The sequence below is a fragment of the Homo sapiens genome, chromosome 15 (assembly GCF_000001405.40).
Source record: "Homo sapiens chromosome 15, GRCh38.p14 Primary Assembly".
Classification (NCBI taxonomy): Eukaryota; Metazoa; Chordata; class Mammalia; order Primates; family Hominidae; genus Homo; species Homo sapiens.
The window spans coordinates 50,610,010-50,622,038 of NC_000015.10; the positions used below are offsets into that span (position 1 = coordinate 50,610,010).

At 37.1% G+C, this 12,029-nt stretch overlaps 1 protein-coding gene across 5 annotated transcripts in view; it reads right to left on the reverse strand.

Annotated features, from left to right (window-relative positions):
• TRPM7 (transient receptor potential cation channel subfamily M member 7) overlaps nucleotides 1–12,029 on the reverse strand; it is a 129,640-nt gene that overhangs the window by 52,852 nt on the left and 64,759 nt on the right. For all 5 annotated transcript variants that reach the window (NR_149154.2, NR_149152.2, NR_149153.2 and 2 more), the window contains exons 13-17: nucleotides 9,736–9,789; nucleotides 4,114–4,254; nucleotides 3,698–3,832; nucleotides 2,540–2,820; nucleotides 1,084–1,312 (exon numbers count right to left, since the gene is read on the reverse strand). Coding sequence is in view for 2 of the 5 variants with exons in the window: in NM_001301212.2 (NP_001288141.1) it covers nucleotides 1,084–1,312; nucleotides 2,540–2,820; nucleotides 3,698–3,832; nucleotides 4,114–4,254; nucleotides 9,736–9,789 (840 nt within the window). In the remaining 3 variants the exon portion in view is untranslated. The remainder of the gene's footprint in view (nucleotides 1–1,083; nucleotides 1,313–2,539; nucleotides 2,821–3,697; nucleotides 3,833–4,113; nucleotides 4,255–9,735; nucleotides 9,790–12,029) is intronic.

The window sequence follows — 12,029 nt, forward strand, 5'->3', positions numbered from 1 at the left end:
AGAATATAATAAAAACAAAACAAAGAATAAAAACAATAAAAGATTTTAAATATCTTGTGATTAGCCATTTTGCCCCTAGCAGTAGAGGGAAAAAAAACAACAAATTGATTTTTTACTTATATATTGTATTTAAAGAGGCCCAAGTTTAACTGTTTTAAAGAGTAACAAAACATTTGATTATTATGATAATAAGGGTATAGGATAGATTTAATAATTATTATAGACTTGTCCTTTAAATAAAATCAGATTACAATTTGTTCAAAAAATACATTTTGTTTAAACAAAATTCAAGCCTTATAAAGGTGCTATGTCCTTAATTTTATCCTAAATCTCTTTGCAAGTGTTCCATGTCATAATGTGATTACTCAGCTTGTGCCTCTATAAACAAAAAGGTTTATTTCTAAAATTTTACTTATTACTTGCAAAATCCCAAAGCATGAAGAAATTGTAATTGTGTAACAGGTTTTCTGTTGGTTATTCAGTGGCCTATGGTTAAACTATTTGCCTGATTTCTGACTCCTACATTTCTGCACCTTATTTTAAAAGATATAAGATAACAAAAAGCAAAGTTCAAAGCAGTATCTATCACCATGACAAAACCAAAGGTACATGCCATTTTACCCAAATTTTTAATCATAAAAACAGGCCACATGGATATACTTATCTATAATGGGTATATCAATATACTCATCCAATATACTTTAAGTAACTTAAAAGTAACAGATTATTAAATTAGTAGATAGGTCTTGAATTTCAGAATTTGGGAATAATCTTTTCATAAAGTAGTAACTTTTTTCAAGGCTGCTAGGGGCCATAATCTCCAATATTTGCCATTTGTTCCCCTTCTAGCTCAAAGAGAGGCCATAATCATTATAGACACCTGAAAAGGATTCAAAAGTTAAGTAGAGGAAAAAAGAAGCCCATTATACCACTTGGGATGAAATGCCAATCATCCATCTTGCTCCCTCTTTACCCCCCACCATTACACTCACACATCAAGGCATTTTACTACACATTTAGACTAATTCTTCTGTTCTTTTTATCTAATCACATGCTTTATATCAAATTATTTCTAAAGTATACCTTGTACCAGGAATTTTTCCTCATATTCAGCCTTCCCATCCACATATCAGATAACAACATTTGTGTACAGGTGTGAGCTACAAAAGGTCTAAGTCTTGAAGAAACTGCTAACTTAAGGCAGGTTGAATTACTCCAGTTCTTCAGTTCATAAGTGAGCAATTTCATAGCCATGGTTTCATCTTGTCTGAAGGACTGTTCTAATAATTCAACGGCCAACTGACCAAAATCACTATAAAAAGATAAAAGCCAAAATATACTCAGATTAACAAACTGCAATTTTAAACCACTATTCTTATATACATTAATACTTCCTACTTTTTAATATTCTCACACACACTTACAGAATTATGAGGCATTAAAACCATAACTCTGTTTTCAGACATCTACATCTATGTGGAAATCACAAAATATTAAAATATGTCGCATTATGTACAAGATTGAGAAGGTGAATCCAGAGCACATTCTCCCGGTCCTAGAAATCAAACTATAATCTCAAAGGGAATCAAAACTCACAATGCTACAATGCTCTGTTCAAAAAAGTTTATGTAGTATTTCAAACACAGAAAACAGTTGGTACCTGGTAGAGAGGAAAAACAATGTGACTAGGGACTAACCTAATTATGAAAAACATCTGAATCTTGAAGTCCCACTAAGTAACCATAGGATCCCTGTTAAAGAGTTATTTTCAGTAACAATTATCACTGCCCTCTAAATACCCCACTTGGGGAGCCGGAGGTCTTAGTATATATTAGAAAACTTCTACAAACTACTTTTCCAGTTTAATATTCCAACACTGCCCCTCTAAGTAAATTGTAAACTTTTATGAACTATGTCGTTACTCTGTGTATGTAGTTCTAGCTTCTGAAGTGCCTTCCCAGTTGAATTCAGTCTATTTTCTTATAACACAGCTCCAACTTCACTTCCACCCTTTCCTTACCAATTCAAATGGAACTTTCTAATCCAATTGCTACTATTTGCAAAAATTAAAATGAATTCTGGCATTTCTTCTTTGTTTCGAGACAGGGTCTATTGCTGTCACCTAGGCTGGAGTGCAATGGCATGATCACAGCTCACTGCAGCCTTAACCTCCCAGGCTCAAGTGATCCTTCCACCTCAGCCTCCTGAGTAGCTGGGACCACAGACAAGTACCACCACACCCAGTTAATTTTTAAATTTCATGTAGAGACGGGGTCTGCCTATGTTGCCCAGGCTGCATTTCTTCTTTCTTGCTGAGATATTTAATTCTTGAGTTGCAAATATAATAACCTCTTTTTCATAGAGGCAGAAAGTTTCTTTTAATTAAAAAAATATATACTTATATAATTTTCTGTCAATTGTACCAATAAGATTATACATATAAATACATCACCATTAAGTACGTGGCACTGTAACAGCCACTCAAACAATACCTACTTTGAATTTTTAAAATGTTTTCAAATGATAAAATACCACTTACTTGGAATACTGTTTTAGTTCTTCTGAAGTATCATCTACCAGGTCACTCTGCTTTGCTTCATATGCCATTGAACGATAGATCTTACAGGCAACTAATGCTTTAGCCATTGATTCTTCACCATGTTGCCATAAAAAACGGGCCATGACCTGCCTCTTCATAAGGCAAGCCCAAATTAAAAGTTCATTAAGTGGATAAGGAAAGCGCTTGGTTTCTGGATCATCAATGTCTACAATTTCATCTTTGGTTCTTTTCTTCTTTCCTTCTTCCATAACTGTATCAATCTTCCAGGGAAAATAAAGTTATAAAGCTCATTATAATAAGGCCATATGAAATTTATGTCAGTGAAAATTTTAGTAAAATATCTTTACATTATTCAGCTCCATAAAACTGCACAATAGCATAAATTTTATAAACTTGATTTTTATTATAGCTCATAATTCATTTTATGAAAATGCTGTTTCAACAAAAATGCCTTTGCAATAAACATTTTCCAAAATTTAAGGGCCTAAATATTTCAACTAATATTCTAATAGAACATAATTTTAATAAAGGGTTAGATAACATTTTTGTTATACATGTTCTTAATCAAGTAAAACTGGAATGAAAGGAGTCAGGTAAACATTTATTAAAACATTTTAATTTGGTTATTATCATACCTAAATATGAAAATGTACGCTGGGCGCGGTGGCCCACGCCTGTAATCCCAGCAGTTTGGGAGGCTGAGGAGGATGGATCACGAGGTCAAGAGATCGAGACCATACTGGCCAACATGGTGAAACCCAGTCTCTACTAAAAATACAAAAAATTAGCCAGTGTAGTGCTGGGTGCCTGTAGTCTCAGCTACTCGGGAGGCTGAGGCAGGAGAATCACTCGAACCTGGGAGGTGGAGGTTGCAGTGAGCCAAAATTGTGCCACTACACTCCAGCCTGGTGACAGAGCAAGACTCCTGTCTCAAAAAAAAAAAAAAAAAAAAAAAGGAACAGAATCATTAACTTATAATTAATATCTCTGTGTGTGAGAAAATGACAATTCTAGGACATATCCAAAAACGAAAGGTAATTCTTACTAAATCAATTAGTTTTTTTTGTTTAATAATACTAAGTAATTTAGAAAGAAGAAAATAAAAACCCAGAAAGAATAATATTTAAATAAATTTACCTTTGGTCGGTAGGGCTGTGCTGTCTTAATGAAATGGTTATGCCTCATTTTTTCCTTTTTATCTGCCCTATTGCCAAAAGATTCATGACTCTTTCGCAACTGAGGAGTGCTGCTGGAGGTATTTCGGCCAGACCTCTGAAAATGAGATCTTATTAGCTTTTATAGATTTAAACGTGCTGACATGTTATAAAAATTCAAGAATCAATTTATATATGTGTGCAAATGTGTTTGTGTACACACACAAAATATGACTGATTTAGGATTTTGACGACATAATATTTCTAATTGCTCTTAGTTGAAAATGTTCAACTTTATGACAGTGTAACCTTCTCCGTTCTAATGTTAATTCTTAACAATTAAAGTGCATGTGTTAATATTAAAGCATATATATAGATTTCCCCACAAATTTTACATACCCGATTATTTCCACCAAGACTATTATATATTAATCGAAAACGTTTCCTAGTATAGGTGCATCTGTAGGTTCCTCCCATGAGATATTCAATAACAAGTCCTATATCAATCAGAGTGATCTTATATCCTGGAGGAAGATTTCCCTAGAAACAAAACATTTGTTTTAAATAGATCAGATAGCACTTCTCAATATTGCCATGCCCTGCCTAGGAACAGGCCTACTCTCCAAAATGACAAATGTTTACTTCTTATAAGAAGCAAGGGCCAGGTGCAGTGGCTCACGCCTGTAATCCCAACATTTTGGGAGGCCAAGGCGGGTGCATCACCTGAGGTCGAGTTTGAGATCAGCCTGACCAACATGATGAAACCCCTTCTCTACTAAAAATACAAAAAAATTAGCCAGGCAAGCTAGTAGATGCCTGTAGTCCCAGCTACTCAAGAGGCTGAGGCAGGAGAATTGCTTGAACTTGGGAGGCGGAAGTTGCAGTGAGCCAAGATCGTGCCACTGCACTCCAGCCTGGGAGACAGAGCAAGACTTGGTCTCAAAAAAAAAAAAAAAAAAAAAAAAAAGCAGCAGCAAGGGTTGCCAGCAGCTAAGCTATCTTTACAGAAGGAAATGCTTGTTTCTCTATTTCCTCTGTAAAAATATGGGATTCTAAAGTTCTGAGGTCTCAAAGGTGTGCCCTGAGACAGGAGTATGACCTAAAGCAGGAAGATAACAATTTCATCTCTTCATTGCCCCAACACTTTACACATGAGACAAAGCAGGCTGGGCGCTGTGGCTCAGGCCTGTAATCCCAGCACTTTGGGAAGCCGAGGCAGGCAGATCACCTGAGGTTGGGAGTTCGAGACCAGCCTGGCCAACATGGAGAAACCCCGTCTCTACTAAAAAAATATAAAATTAGATGGGCATGGTGGCAGGCACCTGTAATCCCAGCTACTTGGGAGGCTGAGGTAGGAAAATGGCGGGAGGCAGAGGTTGCAGTGAGCCGAGATAGTGCCACCGCATTCCAGCCTGAGCGACAAGAGCGAGACTTTGTCTCAAAAAAAAAAAAAAAAAAAAAAAAAAAGAGACAGTGGAAATGCTAATCAGCCAAATATTCCATTTTCATTGTGATACATACAAAAAATTGCATTTTTCTGGAAAAATAATGCTGTATTATGTTTCCAGACTGGCCCAGAAATACATGTTAAGTATTTTTTTAACCAAAATTATACTGGTAATATTATAGGTTTTTATAGTGTTGTCCAGGAATTAACTACCGCTTGCAACATTGTTTAAAGATAAGACTTCATTTTCCCATGGCAATTTACAAATGCACTTTTGGAACATACACCATTTGTGAGTTTGGAAAGATTGCCTGTTTTAAAATTTAAAAACTGGTTAATTTTATTAAATAATCTTAAAGGGATTTAATCATCAGATAATTTGTATTTTTTAACTAATTCTGCCCTCCTACCATCACCATTTTTTTATTTCCCTGATTATGTCATGAACTTGTTTTTTTTAATGTCTGTATTTTTACTATCTTGGTTTCACTGGGCACGGTGGCTCACCTGAGGTCAGGAGTTTGAGACTATCCTAGCCAACATGGAGAATCCCCATCTCTACTAAAAATACAAAAATTAGCTGGGTGTGGTGGAGGGCACCTGTAATCCCAGCTACTCAGAAGGCTGAGGCAGAAGAATCGCTTGAACCCAGGATGCGGAAGTTGCAGTGAGCCAAGTTCACACCATTGCACTCTAGCATGGGCAACAAAGGCGAAACTCCGTCTCAAAAAAATATATATATATTGGTTTCATCTGTGAAATTTCTAATTTCTAGATAACTATATCCTTTAAATCTCTAATTTGAAAATAAATCAAAATACCTATTTCCATCTTGAATACAAGATTTTTGGTTTTAACTCAAGCAATCTCAAAATATGCAGAATGATTGAGAATGTCACCTATGATATTCTTCAATATTATTTATTAAAAACCACAAATGCCATTATATGAACCCACTTGAAGAAGAAATTTTTAAATTAGGTAAAATAATGTGAATTATCTAACAAATGTCATGACGATCAAGTTCTCAAACTACACTAAGTCATAAAACTCAAGTTACCAATTTGAATAAAAATATTCAATTACTACCTGTATTTAAAGATTTATCACTTATAGAAATAAAAAAAATAGGGCTTATTATTATAGCCACCGATGTAACAACAATGTATACAAATTCTCACATTTGTTTCCAAAATTTTAACTACCATAATTCTTTCTTAGAAACATGGTCTTAACGTCTCCCCCATTACTTAAGATTTCTAGGGGAAGGAGGGGGAATTTTAATTATTTAAAAAGACCAAATCAAATTGATGTGAAATGACCAGAATAAGCAAATCATTAGATTAATAGTTACCATAGGTCGGGGACAGAAGTGGGGAGTACAGAAGGAGAAGAAATGAGAAGTGACTGCTAAAGGGTACAGGGTAACTTTTCGAAGTATTATAAATGCTCTAAAGTTAGACTGTGGCAATGGTTGTACAACTCTGAATATAGTAAAGTCAAAAAATGTATGCTTTTTTTTTTTTTAGACAAAGGGTCTTGCTCTGTTGTCCAGGCTGGAGTGCAATGGCACAATCTCAGCTTGCTGCAACCTCCGCTTCCCAGGTCCAAGCAATTCTTCTGCCTCAGCCTCCTAAGTAGCTGGGACTACAGGCACATGCCACCACACCTGGCAAATTTTTGTATTTTTAGTAGAGACAGGGTTTCACTATTTTGGCTAGGCTGTTCTTGAACTATTGACCTCAAGCCACTGGGTCTGGCCAATATACACTTTAAATGAATGAATTTTGTAATTTGTGAAATGTATTTCAATAAAGCTATAAAGAAAAGCACATGCAGGCTGGGCGTAATGGCTCATGCCTGTAATCCCAGCAATTTGGGAGGCGAGGTGGGTGGATCACCTGAGGTCAGGGGTTTGAGGCCAGCCTGGCCAACATGATGAAACCCCATCTCTACCAAAAAAATAAATAAATAAATAAATAAATAAATAAATAAATAAATAAATAAATAAAATAAATTAGCCAGGCATGGTGGTGTGCGCCTGTAGTCCCAGCTACTCGGGAGGCTGATAGGAGAATTGCTTGAACCTGAGAGGCAGTGGGTGCAGTTAGCCAAAATCGCGCCAACTGCACTACAACCTGGGCAACAGACCAAGACTCCATCTCAAAAAAAAAAAAAACAAATCAGTCAGGCTTGGTGGCAGGCACCTGCAATCCCAGCTACTCGGGAGGCTGAGGCAGGAGAATCACTTCAACCCAGGAGGCAGAGGTTGCAGTGAGCCGAGATCGTGCCACCACACTCCAGCCTGGGCAAGAAAGGGCAAAACTTCATTTCAAAAAAAAAAATTTTAAGTATAAAATGTCTCGGTTCTTCCTATAGGATAGTAGTTTAGTATTAAATCAGTTACAAAATAAAGAAAATGAAAACAGAAAATCACATTTTTAAAAAACATCCTCAAGGCTGTTAAAATGACATTTCTAACGTCATTCTTTTTTCTTAAGAAGGGTCTTGATGTGTACCCAGACTGGAGTACAGTGGCTCGATGACAGCTCACTGCAGCCTCAACTCCTGGGCTCAAGTGATCCTCCCTCAGTGCCCCCCACACCCCCACCAATCATTTGGACTACAGGCACGTGACAACATGCCGGGCTAATTTTTAAATTTTTTTGTAGAGAAAAGGTCTCGCTTTGTTTGCCCAGGCTGGTCTCAAACCCCTTCTCTCTGGCGATCCACTCACCTCAGACTACCAAAGTGCTGGTATTACGGGTATGAGCCACCAGCCCTGGCCTTCTATGTTTTTAATAATGCACTCATACTTAGCAGCAAGTAAAAGCTGAAATAAATAAATAATTCTAAACAAAATTTAAGTTTAGAAACTTAGAAGATATTTTAACCAAATAAATATAAATACTATTTTATCAAGGAAAACAAAACTGTATTGAATACCAATAATATAAATGGCTATAAAAGTGGTGATAAACGTTTAAAACTTTTAGTTCACAAACAATCCTGATAGAAGAGGAATAACAGTACATCAATTTAGTGGCCACAGAATAGCCTGAGATCATGACAGTGTTATGCGTTCATCACCACCAATACTAGATGTTTTTTACTTTTAAAAAAGTTAAAAATGCTCACGCCTGTAATCCCAGCACTTTGGGAGGCCAAGGAGGGCAGATCACGAGGTCAGGAGATCGAGACCATCCTGGCTAACATGGTGAAACCCCGTCTCTACTAAAAATACAAAAAATTAGCCAGGCGTGGTGGCAGGTGCCTGTAGTCCCAGCTACTTGGGAGGCTGAGGCAAGAGAATGGTGTGAACCTGGGAGGTGGAGCTTGCAGTGAGCCAAGATCACGCCACTGCACTCCAGCCTGGGCGACAGAGCAAGATTCCGTCTCAATAAATAAATAAATAAATAAATAAATAAATAAATAAATAAATAAACGTATGTTAAAATGATTTATATATATTTAGGGGGTACAAGTATAGATTTCTTACACGCATATGTTATGTAGCGGTGAAGACTAGGCTTTTAGTGTACCTATTATCTGAACAGTGAATAGTGTACCCACAGGTAGTTGTTCAACCCTCACCACCCCCACCCAACCTCCCACCTTTTGTAAAGTCTCCAATGTCTATCATTCCACTCTATGTCCATAGGTACCCATTGTCTAGCTCCAACTTGTAAGTGAAAACGTGGTATTTGACTAAGTTATTTCACTTAGGATAATCAACCTCCAGTTCCATTCACACTGCTGCAAAGGACATGATTTCATTCTTTTGTGTGGCTAAGTAGAAATACTAGATTTTTTTTTAAAGGGGAGAGAGTTTTCAGCATTTTTACTGGCAAAGTCTGCCATTAAGATCATGACCCAGTCCTCAATTTCCTTATTCAACATCCTTTACATTGGGACAATTTTCTGAGGAATAAATTTCTGCTGAAGATAGAGGAAAAAAGATACATTCTATCAACAGTCTTTCTTTTATGAACCAATGAGCTTTATACATCATATTCTATCTTGGATGACCAGAAGCTCAACAGCTTTTTTTTCTTTTTTTTTTTTTTTGAGACAGAGTCTCACTCTGTCACCCAGGCTGGAATGCAGTGGCAAGATCATGGCTCATGGCAGCCTCTACCTCCTGGCCTCAAGTGATCCTCCCACCTCAGCCTCCCGAGTAGCTGGTACTACAGGTGTGCACCACCATGCCCAGGTAATTTTTTTAACTTTTCGTAGCGATGGGATTTCAGCATGCTGCCCAGGCTGGTCTTGAACTCCTGGGCTCAAGCAATCTGCCAGCCTCAACCTGCCGAAATGCTGGGATTACAGGTTTGAGCCACCCATGCCCAGCCTTGGTCTTAATTCCATAAACTCTCTTTTTTTCTTGTTTTCTGATACATTATGCTCTTTACTCCTCTCTTACCACAAATTCAGCCCATATTTTATCTTGTTCTGTAAACTGTAATTTTATTGGTATTTCTAAAATGTATTTAAATGATTTTTTTTTTAAAAAACATGAAATATAAATGATTTTTTAAAATAACATTTTTCAAAAGCAAAAAATAATCTCTTACCTGTTTGACGTCTCGAACAAGATGAAACAGCATTGGATTAGTTGGACCTTGTTTCTTTAGGGAGAAAAAGTTACAGCAAACTATTATTTTTCTTCTAAACTAATTTAAACCTTACAGGATTTTTATGAACCTTCTTATACAAATTACATTGTTTTGGAGTTATTTCCTTAAGTTCTATTCATAAAGTAGAACAACAAAGAATTTTCACATTTACTGCCAAAAAACAAATAATCTTAAGAGTATCACTAAAATGATACATAAGTTTTTGTTTCACAAAAGTCATCACTGCAACTTTACAATTGTATCTTAAATTTAAATTTACATTTCTTTCATTGATAATGGCGCTGTACAATACCTTTCTTCTTGTTAAAATGTCTGTTCCTCTGTTTCTGTCACTAATAAAGTCATATTGAGACTTTAAATATTTTGGGTAACAAGACTTTAACACAAGCTTGTTCAACCTGTAACCCACGGGCTGCATGCAGCCCAAGATGGCTTTGAATATGGCCCAAGACAAATTTGTAAACTTTCTTAAAACATAGAGTTTTTTTTTCAATTTTTTTCAATTTTTTTTTTTTTAAGCTCATCAGCTATCGTTAGTGTTAGTGTATTTTATGTGTGGCCCAAGACAATTTTTCTTCCAATGTGGCCCAGGAAAGCCAAAAGATTGGACATCCCTGATTTAACATTTATATATGCCATAATTTTGCCATTATCTTACTTCTCTTTATATATACTGTTAGAGTGGGCCACCTACCATTATTTCTTTGGAGAAAAAGTTATTTTCTTTGATATTCTTGGCTTTCAAATTCTATATAATATTTAAGATGACTACAATTGATATTGCATATGAATCATATTTTACTTTACTTTGCTCTGCCTTCTTTTTACAATATTTATTTAGGGCTGGGCGCGGTGGCTCAAGCCTATAATCCCAGCACTTTGGGAGGCAGAAGCGGGTGGATCACCTGAGGTCAGGAGTTCGAGACCAGCCTGACCAACACGCAGAAACCCCGTCTCTACTAAAAAAACACAAAATTAGCCGGGTGTGGTGGCACATGCCTTTAATTCCAGGTACTCGGGAGGCTGAGGTAGAAGAATCGCTTGAACCCGGGAGGCGGAGGTTGCGGTAAGCCGAGATCGCGTCATTGCACTCCAGTCTCAGCAACAAGAGTGAAACTCCATCCCCCAAAAAAGTAAAAAATTTAAAAAATTCCATCCTGGCTAACACGGTGAAACCCCGTCTCTACTAAAAATACAAAAAATTAGCCGGGCATGGTGGCGGGCGCCTGTAGTCCCAGCTACTCGGGAGGCTGAGGCAGGAGAATGCCGTGAACCCCTGGGGGCGGAGCCTGCAGTGAGCCAAGATCGCGCCACTGCACTCCAGCCTGGGCAACAGCGAGACTCCGTCTCAAAAAAAAAAAAAAAAAAAAAAAAACCTATTTATTTAGTCGATCAACTCAGGGGCTAAGTTCTCTCTGCCAATTCTCCCCCACAGGTGAACTTTTTAAAATAAAAGTTTCTTCTAAGTTAATAAGACGTATCTCATATTTTGGGGGTATTGGGGAATTTCATTGCATTTTTCTCTAACGGTATGTAATCACATGGAAAGGCACTTAAAATTTCTTAAATTCTATTTTATCCTACTCTATTAAATGTTTATCCATTAAAAATAAATTGTTAATAAATAATAAATGTACTTTAACACAGTAATTCTCAAAGTGTGACCTGGGGACACCTGAGGCCCCCATGATTCCTTCAGGAGTTCCACAAGATCAAGACTTTTTTCCTAATCATATTAAAATTGTATTATTTCATTCTTATTCTCTCAGTGTTTGGTGGAGTTTTCCAGAGGCTTTTTGATGTGTGATATTGTGAGATTGAATTCAGAAGCAAATACGAGAATCCAGCTGCTTTTATAAGGCTAGACTTTAAAGACATTTGCAAACGTGTTTTCCTCTTCTCACCAATTTTTTTGTTTTCTTTAAAAATAAAAACATAGCAGGCTGGGTGCGGTGGCTCATGCTTGTAATCCCAGCACTTTGGGAGGTCGAGGCAGTGGATCACCTTAGGTCAGGAGTTCAAGACCAACCTGGCCAACACGGTGAAACCTCATCACTACTAAAAATACAGAAATTAGCTGGGCGTGGTGGTGGGCATCTATAATCCCAGCAACTTGGGAGGCTGAGGCAGGAGAATCGCTTGAACCTGGGAGGTGGAGGTCGCATTGAGCCAAGATTGTGCCACTGCTCTCCAGCCTGGATGACAAGAGCAAAACTGCGTCTCAAAAAAAC